The sequence below is a fragment of the Homo sapiens genome, chromosome 2, assembly GCF_000001405.40.
Source record: "Homo sapiens chromosome 2, GRCh38.p14 Primary Assembly".
NCBI classification, from domain to species: Eukaryota; Metazoa; Chordata; class Mammalia; order Primates; family Hominidae; genus Homo; species Homo sapiens.
The window spans coordinates 200,286,864-200,310,191 of NC_000002.12; the positions used below are offsets into that span (position 1 = coordinate 200,286,864).

At 41.0% G+C, this 23,328-nt stretch overlaps 1 protein-coding gene across 12 annotated transcripts in view, besides 5 other annotated features; it reads left to right on the forward strand.

The window, feature by feature from the left end:
• Positions 15,542 to 16,741: an enhancer, noted in NCBI's record as "P300/CBP strongly-dependent group 1 enhancer chr2:201167128-201168327 (GRCh37/hg19 assembly coordinates)". NCBI's record gives its function as "activates an origin of replication core promoter dependent on BRD2, BRD4, P300/CBP, MED14 and CDK7 cofactors, with strong dependence on P300/CBP, by STARR-seq in HCT116 cells {active_cell/tissue: HCT116}" and the evidence as "EXISTENCE:reporter gene assay evidence [ECO:0000049][PMID:35650434]".
• Positions 16,284 to 16,333: an enhancer, noted in NCBI's record as "active region_16954". NCBI's record gives its function as "activates an Ori minimal core promoter by ATAC-STARR-seq in GM12878 lymphoblastoid cells {active_cell/tissue: GM12878}" and the evidence as "EXISTENCE:reporter gene assay evidence [ECO:0000049][PMID:35858748]".
• The window catches only part of SPATS2L (spermatogenesis associated serine rich 2 like), a 176,386-nt gene continuing 172,073 nt past the window's right edge, over positions 19,016 to 23,328 (forward strand). For 3 of the 12 annotated variants that reach the window (XM_024452788.2, NM_001282735.1, NM_001282743.1), the window contains exon 1: positions 19,018 to 19,429. Coding sequence is in view for 4 of the 12 variants with exons in the window: in XM_011510938.2 (XP_011509240.1) it covers positions 22,210 to 22,227 (18 nt within the window). In the remaining 8 variants the exon portion in view is untranslated. Of the gene's footprint in view, positions 19,739 to 19,829; positions 20,060 to 22,023; positions 22,228 to 23,328 lie in introns of those variants that run through there. The other 9 variants (NM_001100422.1, NM_001100424.1, NM_001100423.2 and 6 more) reach the window with 6 other exon arrangements.
• Positions 19,205 to 19,304: an enhancer, noted in NCBI's record as "active region_16955". NCBI's record gives its function as "activates an Ori minimal core promoter by ATAC-STARR-seq in GM12878 lymphoblastoid cells {active_cell/tissue: GM12878}" and the evidence as "EXISTENCE:reporter gene assay evidence [ECO:0000049][PMID:35858748]".
• Positions 19,715 to 20,444: a silencer, noted in NCBI's record as "silent region_12223". NCBI's record gives its function as "represses an Ori minimal core promoter by ATAC-STARR-seq in GM12878 lymphoblastoid cells {active_cell/tissue: GM12878}" and the evidence as "EXISTENCE:reporter gene assay evidence [ECO:0000049][PMID:35858748]".
• Positions 20,465 to 20,794: a silencer, noted in NCBI's record as "silent region_12224". NCBI's record gives its function as "represses an Ori minimal core promoter by ATAC-STARR-seq in GM12878 lymphoblastoid cells {active_cell/tissue: GM12878}" and the evidence as "EXISTENCE:reporter gene assay evidence [ECO:0000049][PMID:35858748]".

A 23,328-nucleotide genomic window follows, 5' to 3' on the forward strand; every position in this document is an offset into this window, starting at 1 on the left:
TTCTAAATTGTAAAAGTTATACATTCATAGATTGAAGAGGCTTAGCAAAACTCAAGTGGGATAAATATGAAGAAAATCATGCCTACCACATGATAAAACTGCTAAAAACAAAGAAAAAATCTTCAAAGCAGTCTGAGAAAAACTATATACTGTCTCATTATATAGGAGTTATCATTAACTCCTTATTTGAAACAAAGGAGGCCAAAAGGCAGTGGAATGACATATTTAAAGTGCTGAGAGGAAAAAAGAGCATAGCCAGAGACAATATCCTTCAAGAATAATGAGGAAATAAAGACTAAATACAGATTTTTCAAAAAGAAACTAGTAAGAAGCTTTATCATCACAAGACCTGTACTAAAAGAAATAGAACATTATTTAGGCTGGAGGGAAATGACACTAGATGGAAACTTAAGCGATAAAAAGCATTGAAAATGGTAAAGAGCTGGGTATTTATTAAAATCTCTTTTTTCCCCAACTTTTAAAAAGCATGCAGTTTAGATTTATAATATATGGAGATGCAGTAAATAAGGCAACGATAGCATAAAGGACAAATGAGGTAAATGAACCTCTATAAATGTGAGCTTTCTACATTTTACACAAAATAGTAAGTAATATCTCTAAGTGGACCATAAAAAGTTAAGCATAGATATTGTCATTCTTGGAGCAATTAATAAAATGTATGATGCTAAGAGGTATAGCTAAACAGCCTATTGATAGATTGAAATGGAATTCTAAAATACATTCAGTTGATCCCAAAAAAGGCATAAAAGAAGAATAAACAAATCAACAGAGGGGACAAACAGAAAAGAATACCAAAATGGTAGAAATAAATCTAACCACATCAATAACATCAATTTAAAAGTGAAAGGAGTCTTTTCAATAAACGGCACTGGAATAACTGGATATCCATATGGGGGAGAAGAGTCTTTGACCCATAGCTCACACTGTACACAACAATTAATTTGCAATGAACAGAGACTTAAATATAAATCTGAAACCATAACTCTTTTAGAAGAGAACTTAGGCGAATAGCTTTATGACTTGGAGACAAGCAACATCATTTTTTTTTAACTTTTATTTTAAGCTCAGGGGTACATGTGCAGGTACATAGGTAAACTTGTGTCATGGGGTTTTGTTGTACAGATTATTTCATCACCCAGGTCTTCACCCTGATACCCATTAGTTATTTTTCCTGATCCTCTACCTCTTCCACCCTCCACCCTCTGATAGGCCCTAAAGTGTGTTGTTCCCCTCTGTGTGCCCATGTGTTCTCATCATTTAGCTCCCACTTCTAAGTAAGAACATGCAGTATTTAGTTTTCTGTTCCTACATTAATTTACTAAGGATAATGGCTTCCAGCTCCATCCGTGTCCCTGCAAAGGACATTACCCCATTCTTTTTTATGGCTGCATAGTATTCCATGGTGTATATGTACCACATTTTCTTTATCCAGTCTATCATTGATGGGCATTTGGGTTGATTCCATGTCTTTGCTATTGTGAATAGTGCTGCAGTGAACATACACGCACATGTGTCTTTATAATGGAATGATTTATATTCCTTTGGGTATATACCAAGCAATGGGATTGCAGGGTTGAATGGTATTCTGTTTTTAGGTCTTTGAGAAATCACCACACTGTCTTCCACAATGGTTGAACTAATTTACACTCCCACTAACAGTGTATAAGCATTCCTTATTCTCCACAACCTCAACAACATCTGTTATTTTTTGACTTTTTAATAATAGCCATTCTGACTGGTGTGAGATGGCAACATTTTTTTAGGACACAGAAGCAGTAACTGATTTGGGGAAAACGATAAATTAGACTTGGCCAAAAAGAAGGGCACTGTTTATTAGGTTGTAATCAGGTTATAGGAGAACCAATAGAGATGGTGCCAGAACAGAGCTGGTAACAGCAGAGGGCAAGGAGAGGCTACCACAACCTAGAAGGAGAGACTTTTGCAGCACACATGGTTGTGATCTTCAGAATGTGATCTGGTCAAGGTTGCGTCAGCCAGCCTGAGGCAATCCAGTAGGAAGAGAGCCAGGGAAATAAACAGTCTAACAGCATTCTCCTCCATCTCTCCCATTTCTCACCAGGTTTCTCTCTTGGCAGAATCCAACCAGAAGCCAAAGGAAAGGAAGCCGGTTGATATGATTGCAGGAGACACTGTAGGGACCCCACACACATCACCTTGACATTTAGAGTCTCATGTTATATTTGCCAAAATCACCTTTTAGCATTTTTATTACATGATTACATAGGAACTGCCAACAGGTTCATTCCAGTAGTTCCTATAGACACATGTTCAGATCCCTGTTGACTCAGCTTCCTAGATCCTTCAGTCTTCTCATGCTTCTCATTGTAAGTATAGGGATTCCAGAAAGCATACTGTCTTGGACAGGATATATACACGGTGCCTAGTAGACTCCCTTCTAAGAAAGCTCTTGAGTGACTTCCACACTTCTTGCCTGCTGCTGAAGACTTCCTTATCCCTCATTACCATGCGTTTTTATCATTGATCTCCTTATCCTAGGAATATCCAGAGTGGAATTAAGCAGGCAGATATCTATGTTTGCCAACAAGGTTTTAGAGGGATTGTCAAGCACACGTGTTGCCCTGGAATTTTAACTGACTGACTAAACTAAAATTTGGATGTGAGAGAGTGTAAGACAGCCAGGTAACTAGTAGCATTTAGAGAAGACAGCAGTTAAATTGCCAACGTATTAGAGCACTGGAGTAAGATTAGACGCTAACTTCTGAAGAGATTAATACAAAATAGATTTGCTAAATCTCAAACTTTTTTTTTTTTTTCTTGAGACAGAGTCTAGCTCTGTTGCCCAGGCTGGAGTGCAGTGGCATGATCTCAGCTCACTGGAACTTCCGCCTCCTGGCTTCAAGCTATTCTTCTGCCTCAACCTCCTGAGTAACTGGGACTACAGGCATGCACCACCATGCCTGGCTAATTTTTTGTATGTTTAGTAGAGATAGGGTTTTACCATGTTGGCCTGGCTGGTCTTGAACTCCTGACCTCAAGTGATTCACCCGCCTCAGCCTCCCACACTGCTGGGATTACAGGCATGAGCCACAGCACCTGGCCCTCAACTGTTTCTTGAATCAATTTTCAATTTTTCATGAGACTTGCTGAGACTTTCTGATATATCCTGATAAACCTGAGGAGACCAGAAACTATCTCAGTTCCTTGTAACCTTAAAAAGCCCAGTTTTTTCTTTCAGTTAAGTGACAAGGCATTTTTAAAAAGGGAAACTTACTGCATCACACAATTGAACGGTCTTGAAGTATTCCACCAAAGTTTGACCTGGCAATTCAATGATATCACCAAGGACTTTTCTCACTGTCTATCCTTTCTGCCATCTGCAGTGTTGGCTTCATTTCCAAGTTCCAAATAGATGCTCTCCTCTTGTGGCAGCAGTTTCAGCCCTTACAATTTTACAATCCACTGTTTGGAGGGGTAGAGAATAAATTTCTGATAGTTTCTGAACTAGTCTTGAGATGCACTCTCATCAAACCAATTTAGGTCACATTCCCCATCCATGAATCAATCTCAGAGGCTAGGAACATTGAAGGAGCTAATTTGTCAATATTCCACACCTGAAGCTAAATGTGGGCTCAGCTTTTATAAAAGTATATGGGTACCCAAAGATGTTGGTGGCTGTAGAGAACGAGATAGAGAATGGATGCTTAGAAACAACACATATGTCCATATGTATTCAGTTCTTAGCCTAAATAGCTACCCAAAAACAGACCTCTGCAAGCATTGTTTTATTGAGCCCTGGCATTCCACTATTAGAAAGTAAGCCTTGGCCCTCCACTAACATGTTAAGATGATACTTTCAGACATAATCATCATTCCTGGGCAGATTTGAGGAAGGGTGAAAGCATGAGAGCTTGGCTACCTAAGAAGAAGAAACCACCAGAAAAGGAAGTGAAGAAAAAGAGAATTGGGAGGTTAATGGCAAATGTATCTCATTAAAAAATTTGCCAAGTGTGGGCTGGGCATCCTGGTTCACGCCTGTAATCCCAGAATTTTGGGAGGCTGAGGTGGGAGGATCGCTTGAGTTCAGGAGTTTGAGACCAGTCTGGGCAACCTGGTGAAACCCCATCTCTACAGAAAATCAGCCAGGCATGGTGGCTCATGCCTACAGTCCCAGCTACTGGGGAGGCTGAGGTGAGAGGATTGCTTGAGCCCAGGAGGTCCAGGCTGCAATGAACTGTGTTTGTGCCACTGCACTCCAGCCTGAGTGACAGAGCAAGACTCTGCCCCTACAACCTCCCCCAAAAAATTGCCAAGTGGATACTTCCCACTGCCAATAATAAGTTGTCCCTGGGCTGAACTGAGCAGGCTGAGAATGTCCATTTGCTATCCCTGGCCTAAGAATGGCTTCAGGACTTCTCAGACGACTCCAGTTACCTGAGACATTTTCGTTTAAATTCTGGTGGGCCACTCCAAGGAAGGAACATAAATCTAATCCAGGAATTCTCTCTTTAATAAATTGAAATTAAAAAGATCTGTAATCAGCCATCCTCTTTCAACTTCCTACTAAATCACACAGATATACACATATTGTTAAAGGTATTCTATTCTTGCTAGGGCCAAAATTTATACAGAAAAGATGCTTCATGAAATAACCCTGAATTTTCCCTAATGTATGAATTTAGAGTTAGGAGCATTCTAAGGTGTCAATTAGGCACGTTCATCCATAGTTCATACCTACCCTGCCTCCCATTCCTCCTCCCCACAACCCTACTGAACGCCCAGGAGCTATCTGGATCAAAGCAAGCTTATAGAACTCAAATTGGATAAGACAGTAAACCATCGGAGCAGAAAAGCAAGGGTGTTGACTTATTCCTCTACTATAAAAATAAGAAAGTTAATGAGACACTTCAAAATTAGAATAAGTAAAGAATGTATTTTTAAGAATTAAGTGGCCGGGCGCGGTGGCTCACGCCTGTAATCTGAGCACTTTGTGAGGCCGAGGCGGGTGGATCACGAGGTCAGGAGATGGAGACCATCCTGCCTAACACGGTGAAACCCCGTCTCTACTAAAAATACAAAAAAAAAAAAAAAAAAGAAAGAAAAAAAAAAGAAAATTAGCCGGGCGTGGTGGCGGGCACCTATAGTCCCAGCTACTAGGGGGGCTGAGGCAGGAGAATGGCGTGGACCTGGGAGGCGGAGCTTGCGGTGAGCCGAGATCGTTCCACTACACTCCAGCCTGGGCGACAGAGCGAGACTCCGTCTCAAAAGAACAAAAACAAAAACAAAAAAGAATTAGGCAAGCAATTCGTTTGGGCTGTTGGCATATTAATCTTTAAAAATTTTAAAGTAAAGCCTCTACCTATTCACAGCAAGAAGAGACTTTCTTATAATTTTTAAAATATATGTTTCAACAAATTAAATGTCCATATACAAAAAAACACTTCATAACTGCTACCATATATAAAATATAACTCAAAATGGATTGTAGACCTAAATATAAAATCTAAAATTATAAAATATCTGGAAACAAACATAGAAGAAAGTATTTGTGACCTTTGGTTGGCAAGGATTTCTTGGATAAGATACCAAAAGCACAATCCATAAAAGAACAAATTTGACTCCATTAAAATTTAAAACTTCTGCTTTTCAAAAGACACAGTTAAAAGAATGAACACACAAGCCACAGACTGGGAGAAAATATTCATAAATCATATATCTGATAGAAAACCTGTATTCTGAATATATAAAGAACTCTCAAAACTCAGTAATAAGAAAATAACACATTTTTTAAATGGGCAAAAGAAATGAACAGACATTTCACCAGAGAAGATATTTATACAGAAAAGATGGTTCATGAATAACCCTGAAGATTCTCTAATGTACCAATTCAGAGTTAGATACGGATGACATTTAAGCATATAGAAATATCCTCAGCATAATTAGTAATTAGTCACTAGGAAAATGCTAATTAAAGCTCCTATGAGTTACCACTTTACACCTATTTAGAATGATTAAAATGACTGACCATATCAAGTGTCGGTGAGGATGTAGAGGAACAAAACGCTCATAGAATGCCGTGTGAATGTAAAATAGTTGAACTGTGGAAAAAGTTTCTTATAAAGTTAAACATATACCTACCATATAATCCAATCATTCCATTCTTAATTTACCCAAGCACAGGGAAAGCATATGTTCCCACAAAGACTTTTCTGCAGATACAGCAGCTTTGTTTATAATAGCTAAAAACTGGAAACAACACATGTCTCCATCCACAGGTGAATGAATAAATAAAGTGTGGTATGCCATTACAATAGCATACTACTTAGCAATAAAAAGGAATGAACTATTGATACCTAAAGCAATGTGGATAATTCTTAAAATAATTATGCAGAGTAAAAGAAGCCAGTCCCCTCCCCAAAAAGAACATATAAAATGAGTCCATTTATATAAAATTTTATAAAATTGAAATTAATCTACCCTGACGGAAACTAGATCAGTGGTTACCTGGCAGAATGTTGGGTGAGGGAAGGTCTCCGGATCGGGAGGGAAGTAAATGAGGATGGGATTACAAAGGGACACAAAGAGAAAACTTTTAGGGGTTATAACTATGTTCCCTATCTTGACTGTGATGAAAGTTTAAAAGGCATATATATATGTCAACACTTATGCAATTGTACACTTTAAATATGTGCAATTTATTGTTAGTCAATTATACTTCTATAAAATATTAAATAAATGAAATTTAAGTATATATTTTTTGAAAATATCCAGCCATGTTGTAATTTGACAATATTTCCTGAATGTTCCCAAGCACTGAAGCTATTCTTTAAGAAGATATGAAATGTAACTCCTAACCTTCAAAGGCTTTCAGAGTTCGGAGGGCTCAAATTTTGGACTTGTGGGACTGGAGCTGTGTGTGTGTAGATTTAGGATATAGAAGTTTAGAGCTCAGGACAGATTTTTGATCTGAAAATATAGACATTAGAGTTACAGGGATACAGAGTTAATGAAATAACTTGCATGAAAGATATGCCTAGAAATAGATTCTAGATTGAGAAGTGGAAAGAACTGAGGACAGACACTAGAAACACCAACATTCAAGAGGCAGGAGAGGGAAGATAAGCCAGTCTGAGACTGAAAAGAAATAAGCGGAAAGTTTGGATGGGAACTCAGAGCAGCAGCACAAGGAGTAGAGCATTCTCAAAAGGAGGACAGTGTCAAATGACTCAGGAGGGATGCCAAAGATAAGGAGTGAACAGTGTCAATCGAATTTAGCAATTATGTCTCCAGTGGCCTTGGTGAGAGCACTTTTTGTGTCACTGCATTGAGGAAGCCAAACACTGGTACACTAATATTCTTGCTTTGCATGTTGGTTATTGTAAAGGAAGCAGAAAAGAAACAGTTGGATATTTGAATTATTCCTTCTCAGACAGGACATTACAGCACACCAGAGCATTGAAAAGATGATGTTCATGTGTCTAGACTTCTGTCTCTCAATTCTCTGCTCTCTTTTCCCCCATGTGAACACAATCATAGTCTCCTAATTTTGATCAAAATGCATGGCAGTCATCGCTCCATTATCCTCTTTCTCCTTCACTCAAGTCCCTGAGCCCCTTATTCCTTTCCAGTTCCACCTCTCCCCTTCAAGTTGCCAGAAAGAGTGGTCCCTGTCCACCACTTCCACTTCTTTACACTCTTTCCTCTCCTGTCATCTTCATGCACCCAGGAATCTGGTCCTGATAGGAGGGGGAAGTTTAGAGTGCTAGAACAGGAAGGGCCTAGAGTATGATCACCAGGCTTCTTAGCCAGATGCTATTAATTTCCCCAATGAGAATGACACTAAAATATCTCTGAAATATTTGCTCCTTTATGTCCATGGCTGCAGATGCAGTTCATTCGCTCTTTGATATAATGACCTACCTGGTCCCCTCCCCTGAGATGGCCCTTACAGCCATCTTACACCTGCTCACAGCTGCAGGCATTTGGCTGCTTTCTGTAGGCCATGGCTGTTCTGCCTGTGGCTTATTGGGAAAAGAGAATGCTGGTGGAAGCGTTTTGGATTTGGATTTGAGTAGCTCTCTCTTTCAGTGAACTAGGCTTTGAGGAGTGTTGCTAGTGTGGTTTTCATCTTATGTTCTGGTCCTAGCAACTAGGCTTCTTTCTTTCTCCCTGCCTTGTACTAGAATTCTTGAAACATAATCCCCTTCTCTGCTTCCTATTCCTCAGTGCCTGATTTGTTACCTGGCTACATCAGACAGGAATTCCAATTGGCTGCTTGTAACCAAAGTAGGAAATAACAGTGGTTTAAATAAAAGTTTTTCTGTCACATAAAAAGCATCCAAAGTAGATAGTCCCAGACTGTTCAATGGCTCCTCAGTAGTCAGAGACCAAGATGGGTTCTTACTGGAACACCAGCCTTAGCACTGGTTTCTATTTTCTCCCTCCCTTCCTTCCTTCCTTCCTTCCTTCCTCCCTTCCTCCCATTCTTTCCTTTCTTTCTCTCCCTCCCTCTTTCTTTCTTTCTCTCTTGTCAGGGTCTCGCTCTGTCACCCAGGCTGGAGTGTAGTGCTGCAATCACAGCTCATTATAGCCTCGAAGTCCTGCAAGCAATCCTCTTGCCTCAGCCTCCTGAGTGGCTAGGACCAGAGGTGCACACCACCATACCCAACTAATTAATTTAACTTTTTGTAACCTGGCCTCAAGTGATCCTCCTGCCTCAGTCTCCCAAAGCACTGGGATTACAGGTGTAAGCCACCACTCCTGGCCTTTGTTTTCATTTTCAAGCTTGCCTCCTGGCCCAAATTGTCTGTTGAAGCTCCAGCCATCAGGGTTGTCTTCCAAGGAAAAAACTGGAGAAAGGGGGAAAGCAGGCAAAAGGCATAAAGCAGTCATTTGTCCTCTTTTTACAGAACGTTCCAGAGATTTCCATCTAGAAACTTACACTTGTATTTCATTGGCTAAAAATTAGTCATATGGCCAAACTTTGCTGTGCTAACAGAATGAAACCAGGGTTCTAAGTAAAAAGGAAACAGTAGATTTTGGGTGGGGAACTAGCAGCCTCTAACAGAATTATTCAGCTTAGAAACTTGCCATTTTCATTATATCCTCCTTCTTTCCCTGAACCAGTGTCCTGTCTTATCTCTCTGACTTGATATCTCCTGATAGATTTCTCTACATCTGCCTGCCTGCTGACCACTCACCTGGGCCTCCAAACACAGTCTGCTTCAAATGTTTCTATTGCTATGTTTATCGACATAATTGTTCAATTGCTTGATTTCTCCTTATTGACCTTCCAGGCTGTTGACACCAGGCTCAGATTACTTTGTCTATTAATTCCTGGTAAACAGTACTTTCTAGTACTGCCAAAGATGCTTACAGTTCCCCTGGGGAGGGGGAGATAAGCATATTACACAAGAGGTAAGTGTGGAAAAGGGGCCAGGACAATTAGTCATTAGTTCATCTGGTTGAAACACATCTACTCCTGGGCAAGAGCTCCTTACCCTGCTTGAACTGCAGCATCTTCCTCTCTTCTCCTCCCTTGTCTATTCAGTCATGATTTCTAGAATACGCCCTGTACTTAAGATTTTCATTCTCAACTTGATAACTGGATTGCAACCTTCATACATTTCTCCTCTTGGTAGACTTCTTGCCTCAGAATCATTTTCTGACTGTAAGTCTTCAGTCTTCAAAGTCCTCTTGAAATTATGTTTTCTTGACTTTCTCCTTCACTTGGTCTATCAGACACCTATTTTCATTAGTAGCATTTCCAGGCTTTACCCTGAGACTGACGATAAACAAGTTTGTTTACTTCTAGTGGTTCGTTAGAGCAGGCTTGTATTGGCTTGGGAGAGCTGTTTGTTAAAAACAAAATAATTATAAAAATATAACTTGTTAAAGTGTTGGTAGCTTGAAATTAGCCATGGTGGGAGTATGTACCACATGGAAATTGGCAAACACTATTAATCAGGGCTTTCTTTTTTCCCGAAAGGGTGTCTACCAGCACGCCATTGCTTGTTTCACCCCGTCATTACCCCCTGAATGCGCGCGCACGCACACACACACACACACACCCACACGACACTTCTCATCCCAGATCCTTATCTCTTCAGCCTACCTTAGCCTCCAGCTTACAGATAACCCTTCCACACTCAGCTATAGCCAGTGATTCAACATTTCATAATGGAATATATATTTTGAAAATACATCCTGGACCCTAAAGACTTTTCCAAGACTGCTGACCACGCTATTTGAGAACTGCTAATGTAGTCCATCTGTCTGCCTTCAGAACACATGTAATCATATGGAGGAATCATTTGCTGGGGAAAAACCTACATCCTGGTATTTCAGTAGAAGGAATTTATTGATCAACATCAGAGATGACTCATCACAGAATATTAACTTCTGTGAAGTTAATATTGGGTGAAAGATGACCAATTAATGATTACAGGTATTTCAGAAAGCCTGGTGCAAGCTGTGCAATAATCAAGCTGCATGAGCCAACCAAAACGTCAAGATGCTTTGCCTTTGACAGGAATTGTATCAATTCACATCATGCCATTACCTCTTATTGATCAGGACCTCCGTTCCACGTGTCTTCGATTAATAACAATGAAAAATGAATTAATTATTACTTATAATTACAGTATTTTAGTAAACAAAATCATTCAACTCATGGAAGAAAAATAATAAAAAAGATTATGAAAGCCTGGGAACCACTAGACTATGCCAATTTTTGATTACATTAAGAAGCTAATATTTCTTTGTTTAAAAACATGTAGCGGTTGCTAATATTATAGACTAGAGCACATGCTGTGGAGGCAGACTAATTGGGTCGTATTAGAACTTTGCCACTTAGCCCTGTGATTTGGGGCAAATTGCTTAATCTCTCTGTGCCTTAGTTTTCTCATCTGTAAAGTGGAAATAAAAGCATCTATCTCACACGATGACTGTGAAATTAAAATGAAAAAACACATTAAATGCTCAGAACGGTGGTTAGCATGTAGTAAATAATTAATGAACATTTGCTCTCATCTTCATCCTTGATATTATTTTTGAAGCAGTTTTATTGTACCAGGAACTGTGCTATAGGCTGTACATGCAATCTCCTCTAACCTTATCATTAAGCCCATTTTATGAGTAAGGAAACTGACCCTCAATAGAAATGATGTAACTTTTCCACGGTCTTGGGCTAGTAAGTGTGAAAGAGGTTGGCTCAATATCTTTTAGGAGATTTCATTTAAATGGTAGAAAGATGTAAAACCACAGCTTGCATTGGAATTCAAGCCATCCTGATATTTAATATTCTACTGGGAAATTCTTACCTCATAGTCAACTGAACCCGTGCATGTGGTAGCATAAACTATTCTCGTTCTGTCTTCAGCGGAGACAGAAGAGCTCACTCATAAACATCCCTGTGTTTTCGCTTGAACTGTTATTAAGTTGCCCTCCTGACTTGTCTTCTGCAGGTTTTACAAACACACAGCTCCCATAGGCCTTCCCCATGAATCCTATTTGTTAGCCACAGAATAATCTCCACAAAAGTATTTTCACTTTCTCTAACAGTAATTTTTAACTTAGACTTTAAATCTAAAGTTCATTACTAGCGTAAGTAGAGCACAATATCCTTTGGCTGAACTGGCTTCATTTATGAAGAAGCTGAATATAAAGATCCTTTCTGTCTTGGACTTTCTTATTCCACCTTCTTATTTAAAAGCTGCTGCCTACAATGCACCACAATGTATATAATAAGTATTTTAATAAGTATTTTTTTAAGTTTCAAGTTGCATGTCATTTTGTGTCACAGGGGTGAGTCTAGACTCACATTTAGTTGTGCAATCAGGAAGACAAATGACAGTGGGAATATTTTTAAAAAACACCTATTATATCACTATCCATTCATTCACTTTTTCTGGGCCAGTCACTGTGCTAGACACCAGGACCAAAGAACACAGTCCCTGCTCAGGGAGCGCATAAGTCCCACAAAGGAGGCCAATATACAGTTACCTAGTTATTGTGATAGAGCAATGCACAGGAATCAATAGGAACATGCGGAAAGGAGCAGCGAAGAGACCCTGGAATGTAGAGGTAATATAGTCTGATCAAGAATGCTAGGGAGCCAGTCAGAAGCCCTGGCTCTAATCCCACTTTTACAATTAATTATTATGCCATCTGTTAATGGCTGAATTGTGCCATCCCAAAAAAGATCTGTTGGAGTTCTAACCCCTAGTACTTCAGAATGACCTTATTTGGAGATAGGGTCTTTAAAATGAGGTCCTTGGGGTGGGCCCTAATTCAATATAACTGATGTCCTATGAAAAGGGGGAAATTTGGACATAGAGACAGACATATGTAGAGGGAAGATGATGTGAACAGACACAGGGAGAACATGGGCATCTGTAAGCTATGAGAGACCTTTCCTTCACAGTTCTCAGAACAAACCAACCCTGCCCGTATTTTCAGCCTCCAGAACTGTGAGACAACTTTCAGCCTCCAGAACTGTAAGACAATATATTCCTATTGTTTAAGCCACTCAGTTTGTGGGTTTTTATTACAACATCCCTAGCAAACTAATATGCCATCTCAGTGTCACAAGCATATCCCAAGCTTCAGATACCACACTAGGCAAGGCCAGTCCCACATTTGGGAAAATTTGGGCAAAAGCACTCAGAGCACGACTAACCAGAAACATGCCTGCATCTGCCTGCAGCTTGTTCTTATGCTGTGACCCAGATGAATTCAAAGGTTTCTCTTTAAATACTGAATTTGAGTCTATGACAAGACCCATTAAACCTCCCCAGTGTGACATCCAGAAACAACACCAGTAGTCCTTTGCTTATAAGGTAAATAATATATACTATTGTAGATAATTTTAGAGTACAAGCTAAATTCAATAAAAATAAACTTTGTGTTAAATAACAGATCAACATGACATTACTTAAAACAAATGGTTAATAAACATGCAAGATTTTCTATCTCACTGGTAATCAGATTTGAGAAAAAAACTGCTCTTGGCAAACGGAAGATGCTAATACAGTTCACCATTGAACACTGTGAGGGTTAGAAGTGTTGACCCCCATGCAGTCAAAAATCTGAGTATAACTTTTGACTCCGAAAAACTTAACTATTAATAGCCTACTATTAACTGTAGGGCTTACTAATAACGTAAACAGTAGATTAGTTGGTTATATGTATTATATACTGTATTTTTACAATAAAGGCAGAGAAAAAATGTTATTAAAAATTATTATAAGAGAAAAAATATTTTTTATTCACTAAGTGGAAGTGGATCACCATAAAGGTCTTCATCCTTACTGTCTTCATATTGAGTTGATTGAGGAGGAGGAGGAAGAGGAGGGCTGGTCTTGCTGTCAGGGGTGACAGAGGCAGAATAGGTGGAGGAAGTGAAAGAAGAGGCAGAAGAGGCAGGCACATTAGATGTAAATGTTATTGAAAAAAATCCACATGTAAGTGGACCCGCACAGTTCAAATCCATGTTGCTCAAGGATCATCTGTACACATCAGAGAACAAATGCATGCATCCTGAATGAGTGATAGCCTGTTCACTTAGAATACACAACTGGTTCCATTTGTCTTTCTGTTGGCACAATCTGAACCTAAAATTATCTTCCTAGAATACACAGTGACATGAAACCTGTAAAACAAACAAACAAAGAAAAAACCCCTCTATTAGGTACATGTTCATTTCAGGCAACTCTTCTGAGGACAGAAGGTTTGAACATAAAAAATGCCTGAAACAATGAAAAGATAACCTAATATTTAGCTCCTGTATAGACTGAAAAAGTTCAGCCAAAGTGCATTGTTTGGGTTTCTTCTTTCCAACATGTTTTACCCTCAGGCCAGCAAGGTTATACTTTCTCTTCTCACCCCAAGTCTTCATCTTTTCTGGAAAATTTCCAAGCTGAGCCCTGGTCTCAGGTCATAACAACTTGATCTGCTGCACCAGAACACCAAGGGAGTGAGTCATCCCTTTGGATTTGCCTCGGCAGGTCTTCAACAAGTCTTTGTTTCTCTGCCTATCCATCCCTCAACTGCTTGACATTGGCCAGTGTCCATGATGGGTTTTTCTTCTAGTTTCTGTTGCCTTCCATCTTTTTACTTTTTAAAAAATTATAATGATAAAGAAGCGCACAAAGTTAAAAGGGCAGGTTTCACCCCTTTCACCATCACCCTAAGGGTCAAAGGGTTACCAGGGTCAACAGTGTGAGTATCCTTCGAGAGACAGGAATTTCCATCCTCCCCGCCCTGCCCCCTTGCTGTTTAGAGCTCATACTGTACACAGTGTTCTGACTTGCTCTTATCACTCAAAAATATATCATGGACACTCTTCCATGTCAACACATACATAGCTCCCTCATTTTTAAACAGCTATTTATTTTTCTACAGTGTAGATGTGCCCAAATAGAGAAGTAGATGAACCATTCCTCTATTTATAAACGTGGAATGTGGTCCAAATTTTTTTGGCCCTTACAAATAATATTACAATCGGCATATCTGTAAATATATTTTGGCACACTTAATATTTCTGTAGATGAGATCACTTGTAGTGGAAAAGTGTGATTAAAGGATACATGCATTTTTAATATCTATAGGTTCTGCAAATTACTTTCCAAAAATGTTTATTAATTCACACTCCAGTCAGCTAAGTATGAAAGTTCCTATTTCTTATAGATGCAAACACCTGATAGTAAAACATATTTTTGCCAATCTGACAAATAACAGATGCTATCTTGTTTTTATTTATGCTATGATCATTGATGAAGTTGGGTATGTTTTCATATGCTTATTAGCACATAGTCCTTCTTTTGAGAATTGTCTATTTTCTTTGTCCATTTTCTTACCCTTTTGCTGCTTCTCGTTTCATACTGATTTCAAGAAGTTGTCTATATTACCCATATTAACCCTTTCCTGTTGTGTATACATGTTGCATGTATTTTCTCCCCTTAGGTAACATTGTTTATGGTACCCTTCACTTGATAGAAATGTTAAATTTTTATAGTCTTCTCTGTTTAATTTTTTTCTGTTATAGCTTGTGAAATTTTTTCATGATATTTCTAATTAGTATTATAAAGCTCTTATAAGGAGCCCTTATAGCTCCTACCTACAGTACTTACTAAGAAGCAGCCTTCGATTATAAATATTATAAATATTGTAAAAGTCTCCTATATTTTCTTTTAGTCTTTTATAGTTTTTTATGTTTAGATTATTAATCCATCTGGAATTTTTTCTGGAATATGAGCTAAGACAGTGTATTAGTCATGCTTCATTCAACAGAAGGATTTTTTTTTTACTCAGATAACAATTGTGGGTGTTCAGATAACAACTGTGGGTGTTCAACAAGCAGACACAGGTATATTAAATGTTTATATTAAATGTTTTAATATCAGGTGTTTGTGAGTGTCTATAAGAAATAGTGACAGGGTGACTCAGAGACCCAGGCTCCTTCCATCCTAGCTCTACCCTCCTCTTGATAAGGGGTCAGCAAATTACAACCCATAGGCCACATGCAGCCCACTGCCTGTTTTTGTAAATAAAGTATTATTGGAACATAGCCATACTTATTTGTTTACATAGTGCCTATGGCTGCTTTCCATAAAACAGCAGAGTTGAGCAGTTTTGATAGAGACTATATGATCCACAAAGCCTAAAATATTTACTATTTGGCCCTTTATAGAAAAAGTTTCCTGACTTCTGCTTTGAAGTCTCAGGGTCCTTAGTTTCCACATGGCAGATGGGGAAGAGAGATCATGTGGGAGGCTTTCCACGGATGAGGCCTGGAAGGGGAGTACAACACTTTCGCCTACATTCCATTGGCCAGAATTCAGTCCCTGGCTTCACCTAACAATTTGGGAGGCTAGGAAATGTGAATTTATTGTGCACTGAGGAGGAAAGGGAATAATTAGCCATATTCTGCCAAGGTGTTCCCTGCAATTATCTGTTTCTTTCTTCCTTCCTATTTTTAAACAGAATAGGCTAGATTACGGTGCAGAAACAACCAACCATCAAATCTCAGTTGCTTAGAACAAAAAAGGCTTATTTCTTGATCATACTACATGTCCACTAATGCTCAGCAGGGATGGCATTGCTCATTGTTGTCATTCACTCCAGTCTGATGAAGCAGTCACCACCACGCACCTTGATGTTGCAGCACTAGGAAGAAAAGAATGCGGTGACTGATGTCCCAACTCTTAACTTCTGACTCAAAGTTATACTCATCACTTCCGGCCACCTTTCATTGGCTGAAGCAACTCGCAGGGCTATACTATACTTTAGTCAGGTGGGGAAGTACAATCTTATCATGTGCTTCAAAGGCAGCAGAGCTGGAATATTTGTGAACAGCCCTACTGGATTGCACATTAACAAACACAGAACACATATTCATCCCCTTCCTATGGGAGATAACCCAGATTCCATTCATTCACTGCACACAAAGTCCAAGATCCTAGATGGTAGATGCCCTCCCCAATAAGTTTGAATATTGCCTAGTGATCTGGAGTCTAGCAACTAAAATTCCTCTCTGTCCCCACTACTTATTCAGATATCAAAATCCTAACAGAGTCACAACTGATCATGGCCTGAAACAGGTTTCCAGAATCTGAGCTATATCCACAAATGTGAGCCCTGCTCTGAACGATCATGCCTAGAGAATCAGGAGCCTGGTACAATCTAGGGGTGGCAAGCGGGAAATACGGCATTTTGCAAAAATCAATACTGCAAGAAAAGAGTCATCTTTATTGAAGGACATGGCATTGTTTCTCCAGGCTTACAATTAAGCACCCTGAATAAAGAGTGTAGGTGACAATGTGGAGGAAAGCAGTACGCACAGATTAAAAATACCTACACGTAAATGTTAAAAAATATAAACGAACATACTTTGTTCATCCCTCAGAAAACATCTGCTCTTATGGTTCTTGTTTTGTTTGCTTAAGAAAAGATCTTCACATTTCTATTTAGTTTAGAAAATAGTAAAATGCAATTCAATCTCTGAATTGTAATCACAGAGAATCATTTTGAACAATACTGTCAAACTAGCATTACACAGATCAAGATTTCAAACAATGTAATTTTTCAAATAAACTTTGACCATCTGGTGAAAACATCAACATATATCTTATTCATATTTTGTTTCTTCAGACTTTTCTATCTCCCTATAATAATAGGAATATAATGCATATTTTAAAAATCATTTATGCCTAATTCAGAAAAATAATGCTTTGTTAGTTATATGATGTGCAAGAAGCTTTTACATGTTTCAATAAGCATATTAAATCCTCTCTAACAGAAACAGAAGTTTTCATTATTTCCAGAAGAAATTAATTTGAACAGCAAAAGGTTCAAGTTTGATTTGAAATTCACTGTCTCTAAAACTTTTAAAACTCTGATTTTTTTGGGGGGGTGCTGGGCCCCTTAGCTAACTCTTGAAATATACAATTGTTTTCTTCGAAGTTATTCTATACTTGTCTTTTCACGCGCTAGGCCTCCACTCACAGTAGAGAATTAGTTTTAGCCTAGTCTGTGGTACAGTGGCTACTCCTACCTGCCTAGTCTCTATTTTTTCATTGATTCACTGCTTTAACATCTTTGCTCTCAACACATACAGCATTTATTCTTATAGCTCCTACCTACAGTACTTACTAAAAGAAGCAGCCTTCGATTAGAAAGGCGGTATATGGTCTTCTTAAAACCCTTTCTTCCCTCTGGTCATATTCTGTTCTTGAAGGCATTTTTTTCTGTCGGACTTCACTAAGCAAGTTAGATTTGGAGTCATGGGAAGATTATGAAGTGGTGGAAGAAAAGAATGAAGACTGAGTTCAATGTTATTTCCAAAGCCCTTCCTAGGAAAAGTGTTGTTTATTATTCATTTTGGAATTCTAATTATGGAGGAAACCTCCCAAAAACATAAATAAATTATTTAGCCAGAGGACCTAAGAAGTGCATCAAATTTCAAGTCAAATGGCTACAAGTTACTTATTACACCTAAATTTAATAAGCAATAGGATGTTTGTTCTTTATGTGTGGTATGGCTTCTAGAAGCAAGCTTTCCTCTCTGTAGCACAGGCAGGGTCCAACGGTCTAGGTTCAAATTCTTCCTTTACCACTTACTAGCTAAAAACTTAGGCAACTTATTTCACCTCTCTGTGCCTCAGTTTCTTTCTTTCTTTTCTTTTAAAGGCTCTGGCTCTGTTGCCCACACTAGAGCGCAGGGGTGTGATCCTGGCTCACTGCAACCTTAGCCTACCTGGTTCAGGTAATCCTCCCACCTCAGCCTCCTGAGTAGCTGGGACTACAGGCGTGCACCACCATGCCCGGCCAATTATTATTATTAGTTTTTTTGTTTTGGAGGGATGGAGTTTCACTATGTTGCCCAGGCTGGTCTTGATCTCCAGGGCTCAAGAGATTTGCCCACCTCGGTCTCCGAAAGTGTTGGGATTACAGGTGTGAGCCACTGGGCCCAGCCCTCAGTTTATCTGTAAAACAGGACAAAAGTAGTACCTACCTGATGGGGTTCTTCCAAGGATTAAATGAGCTAGTACTTATAAAGCACTTGCTAATGTCTGTTAAATAAATTATATTATCCACACACCAATCCAAGGCGACTATAAGGTAGCAAGAACCACTCCAAGTCACATAAGAAAATGAATTCCTTTCGTTTTAGCTCCTCTCTTTATTTCAGCAGTGCGTTGTCAACAGGGCCACATTATGTTAGCAGATTTGAACTTTATCCGAAAGGTGTTTGTATTTTATTTCAAATTATGAATTCCTGAACATCGGATTATGTACGATTCTGCAGTGCCCTCGGAGGCCCATTAGAGTCTGGAGCTCGAGAAGCATAACAAACTCTGGTCTGATATTTGTAAGGAGCTTGACAGCCAAGGAGCCACTCAGAAACAGTTATTGGTATTGCCAAAAAAAAAAAAAAAAAAGGAAGCTAAGAAGTCACCCTTCTAAATAAATAAATAAATAAATAAATAAATAAAAACCTGAATTGGAGAGCTGCCTGCATTTCACTCTACTGCCTCTGGAAGAAGAGTGTTATCTAAAGTGCTTCCATCATGAATAATGATTGAGAAACTGCTTTTACTCTCCCGACTACTGTACTCCCAGGCAGAAACCCACGGCTGAAGCCCACGATGCCCATGTGTAACTTGGTTATTACACACACGTTTGGAGCCCAGTGTGCAGACCCGCAGCGCAGAGGAGGCGGCGGAACACCCCGGGTTGGTCGGGTTTCCAAGGGCTGACCCGAGCTCCAGCACTTTTTCCGCGCCTGATTTTTCAGGTCATTTTCGAATGGGCTATCTTTGCTTACATTTTGAGCTTGGATCCTCTCCAGAAAGCATTACTACCTTCTAAAAGGAAAAACATCTCGTATTTGCAGACAGTGCTGAGGGAGCAAAGTTCATTTTCTCGGGTAGGAGAAGATGATTCTCTTGCAACACGTGCGGATTGTGACAAAATCTTTCATTAACAAGGGGAGTTTCGGTGAAGTGGAGGTTTGGGGAAAGGCGAGGAAGTCGGTCTGGAGCAAGCAAGCAAAGTGCGGAAGCTGTACTGGGATTCTTCTAGAAAGTGGGGTGGGAAAGGAGCTAGGGAGGGCGTGTGGAGGGACGAGATCTGTGTCAGAACGTGCGTGTGAGCGGATACAAAACCCGAGAGAGGCGTGAGCAGCGCTGTGTTTGCGAGCGGGAGCGAGGGGCGCCGGCTGGGGTGTGTGCTCCTGGTGAGTGACACCGAGGGGAAGGCGGGCGGGTCGGCGGGCGGGGGCAGCCTGCGAGGGGCGGGAGTGTCCCTGCGTGGGGCGGCCGAGCCGGAGTTGTGTCAGTGAAGGAATCCAGTCCGGGGGCCGAGCTGGCTGCGCCCTCCGCTGCAAGCGCCGGCAGCGCGGGGCGAGCTCCGGACGGCGCGCGGCCCAGGCAGCGGCTCCCGCTCGGCCCGCCCTCCGAGCCGCAGGGGCCGCCACCGCCGCGGCGCCTCCCCTGGCGACCGCGCCCCCGGGCCCCGGCTCCGGCCCGGGACGGAGGAGCCGGCGCTCGACACAGAGGTAAGCCCAGGACCCCCTCCACGCCGGGCCGGCTGGGGATGCAGGGCGCGGGCGGACGCGGAGGGGCCTGCGCGGCCGGGACGGAGACTCGGCTGGGCCGAGCATTCCGCAGCCCGGGCCGCCCAGCCTCCGCCGCCTCCCGGAGCGCTGGGTGTGGCCCGCGCTCGGCGCCGAGGCGGGCTGGTGGCGCGGACCGGACGCGAAGGTCGCCGTCCTTCCTTTCTCCAGCCGGCGCGGGCAAGCGGGAGGAGGCGCCGGCTGGGACGCACAGTGGCGCTCCCCGGGCGAGCGTGTGGCCGCCGCGCTCCGACGTGTACCCGCCCGCCCCGGATCTGAATCGCCCGCGGCCGCCGTCCCTCGCCTGCCGTCCTCCCGCGCGGGCGCCCCCGTTCCCTCCCAAGCCGGAAAGAGACCCACCGTCCCCCAGGCTGCTCTCTGGCCCGGAGCCGCAAAGCCCACGTCAGCCGCGACCACCCCGCCCTCGGATCCCAGCCGGGTGCGGGGGCCGCGGCCCCACTGAACCCCGCGCCCCTGGCGCCCAGCGGGAGTGGGATGCGTTGGCGTCCGCGCTGCGCGGGTGGGCTGGGGTGGCCGGAGCAGACGCGGAGCGCCCTGGCCGCGGGACGAAGCGGTCGCGCCGCCGCATTTGGGCGGGGGGACCCCGGAGTCCGCGGGCTGCGGACCCCAGCGGGAGACGGGGTTGTCGTAGGATGCGCTCGCGCTGGACGCCGGCGCACTCTGAATATCATGCTGCCGCACACGCGGGGCTGAAGGGCCGAGTCTTCACCTGCGCGGGGATGCGGCGGAAGCGTCGCGTCTTCGCGAGTGGAGGTTTCGTGTTCCCGCGGGGTTGGTGTGTTTTTGAACTTCACGAGCTTCTCATCCCCCCCGCAATCCTGGTTTTAGCAGATGTCGGGGTTTTGGAGACCTGACACTTTTCGTGAAAGATTCTTTCTGTACGTTTTCTTTTGGCTATATTACAGGGTTTGTAGCTTGAGAACTAGTGAAAACCCTTGAACTTCAAACACAGTCTCATTGCTTATTTTTTGAAATTTAAATATTAAAATATGTACCAGCCCCCTCACAAGCCGACAGACTTTAAGACAAACGACTGTGAAATTTTAGAACCTGTGCAGAGAAAGTGGTTTTATACCAGTACTTGAAATAGTAAGGTCGTGTAACCTTTTTAACATCGTTTTAGTTTGTCTTAAAGGAAGGTTTCAGCACCACTTTGACTGGTACTGTTTTCCAGAGTTTAAGCAGATGTATGTAATATAGCAGGGAAGAGGACAGGAAGTCAGAAATCTCTTCACTCTGAAAAAAAAAAAAGACTTCAAATAATACAACCAATACCCTGAAAATAGAGTGGCCGTCTGGATAAAGTATTTGATAGGCCTTATGAAATTGTGTTGCTTAACCAGAAAGCAATGTGTTGTTAGATAGGGCAGTTTTATCTAGTAACTGTCGTGTTTAAAAATATCTGTGTATGATATTCTTTGTTGAATTTTAACTGGGGAAAAATCAACTTTGGGAATGGGTTTCTATTTGGACAAGGCAAATACTGCAGTTTCTAATTAGAGTTTTGGAATAAGCTCAAGCTGTGTTAAAACCTATTGTATGGAGCAGCAGAACAGAAAACATGTCAAATCTGTATCTGTGTGGCAGAAAACATGTCAAATTCTGTATCTGTGTGGCTTTAAATACACACACACACACACACAGACACACAAACTAGAGACTAGCCCCAAAAGATAATTTGCATAAAAATACAATCACTTGAATGCAGAGAATAGCTAAAGACGTTAGTAAAAACTGAACATCTGGGAAAAGACTGTATTAATTGGCAATTTTCTTTCTTTAATCCCTGAAAATATTAAATGATTTTCTAAGAATCAACTTAGTTTAATGTGCTCATTTAGACAGGCAAAATGATCAAGACTCCTTTTGTATTCATTTTGTTTTAGGGAGCCCCCTAATGAAAGTCTTCAGTAAATAGTTTTTCTGCATGCACTGATTTTCCTGAGGCCATTGTGGAGAGAGTTATCTGTGGGCTTGAGAAGCTGCTCTGCCACACCAGTAAGGATCAGGGAAAGAAAATACTTAGGCCACACCGTTGCAGTCTTTGATTGCATGCCAGTCTGAAGCATTTTATGGACCCGTTTTGCCATGTAAGTGGTAAGCTTTTACATCAGAAGTTAAGCTTTAGAAATATCTCACTTTGGGGCCTAATTTTTGTGAGTTTCTCAGTCTGCGATCAGAGTTGTGTTATCAATCACAGTGAATGTTCGTGAATGGTTGTGTGTTGAAAGGGCATAGGTGGTCTTCATTCTATTACTTTACACAGTTTTAATCAGCATTTTCTGAGGTGAGCCAGGACAAGAACTTCTGGTTACAGTTTGGATAGGATGGAAAAAGTTGTGGTTGCTCTTCGTAAGATCTAAGCTGCTACTACCTGTCCCACTGTATGACAAGAGTGGAATGCATTTTATGTGCACTTGACAGGTACTGCTTAGTCACTGCTTCATAGTACTTCTTTCCTAGCCATCTTCTGTAGCACTTTTACTGTCATTTGACTGTGATAATTAAATCATATGTTTTTTATAATTTCTGTGCACAGAAGAGTAGATTTTACAAGCATGACACAGGACATGAGAGTAGGTGTCTCATATGGACAGATTTAAGTGATTGGGTCTGTTTATTGATCTCTGAATGTTGTGCAACATTCAACTAATCCATTTCATCACTGTTTTGCCTTAAAGTGTAATCACACAATTAAAATAAGATTTTCATGTTACAAACAGTTAAAAACCCAGTAAACATAATTATAGAAGAAAAACAAACCTTTCTTTTTTCTTCCCTTTTTTGAAGTAGTCTTGCTATGAAGGTGTTATGTCTTTGACACATCAAAATGGCTAATTTGGAGTTGTGATGCTTGTTATGTAAATAGGCCATATGTTGAATTTCTGCAGAAGCTTATTCCTTCAGTGTTGTGGTAATGGGTAGGATCCCCTAAGTACCATAGCTGAGAAAAATAGTCTTATGAAGATATATTTCTCTCTACAACTTATGTAATTTTTTATTATTTTTGATAATAGCTAGTGTTTTTATTTTCTGATAAAAAAATTTTAAATGTGATGTTATCCTTCCTTGCATCATACAAATCTTTGTCTCTAGTACTGATCCAAACTCCATTCCTATTTATCTACTTCCTTAATTAATAGACTTTTTATGGTGGATGGCCTGCTGTCAAGCTAAAGACTACATGCTTG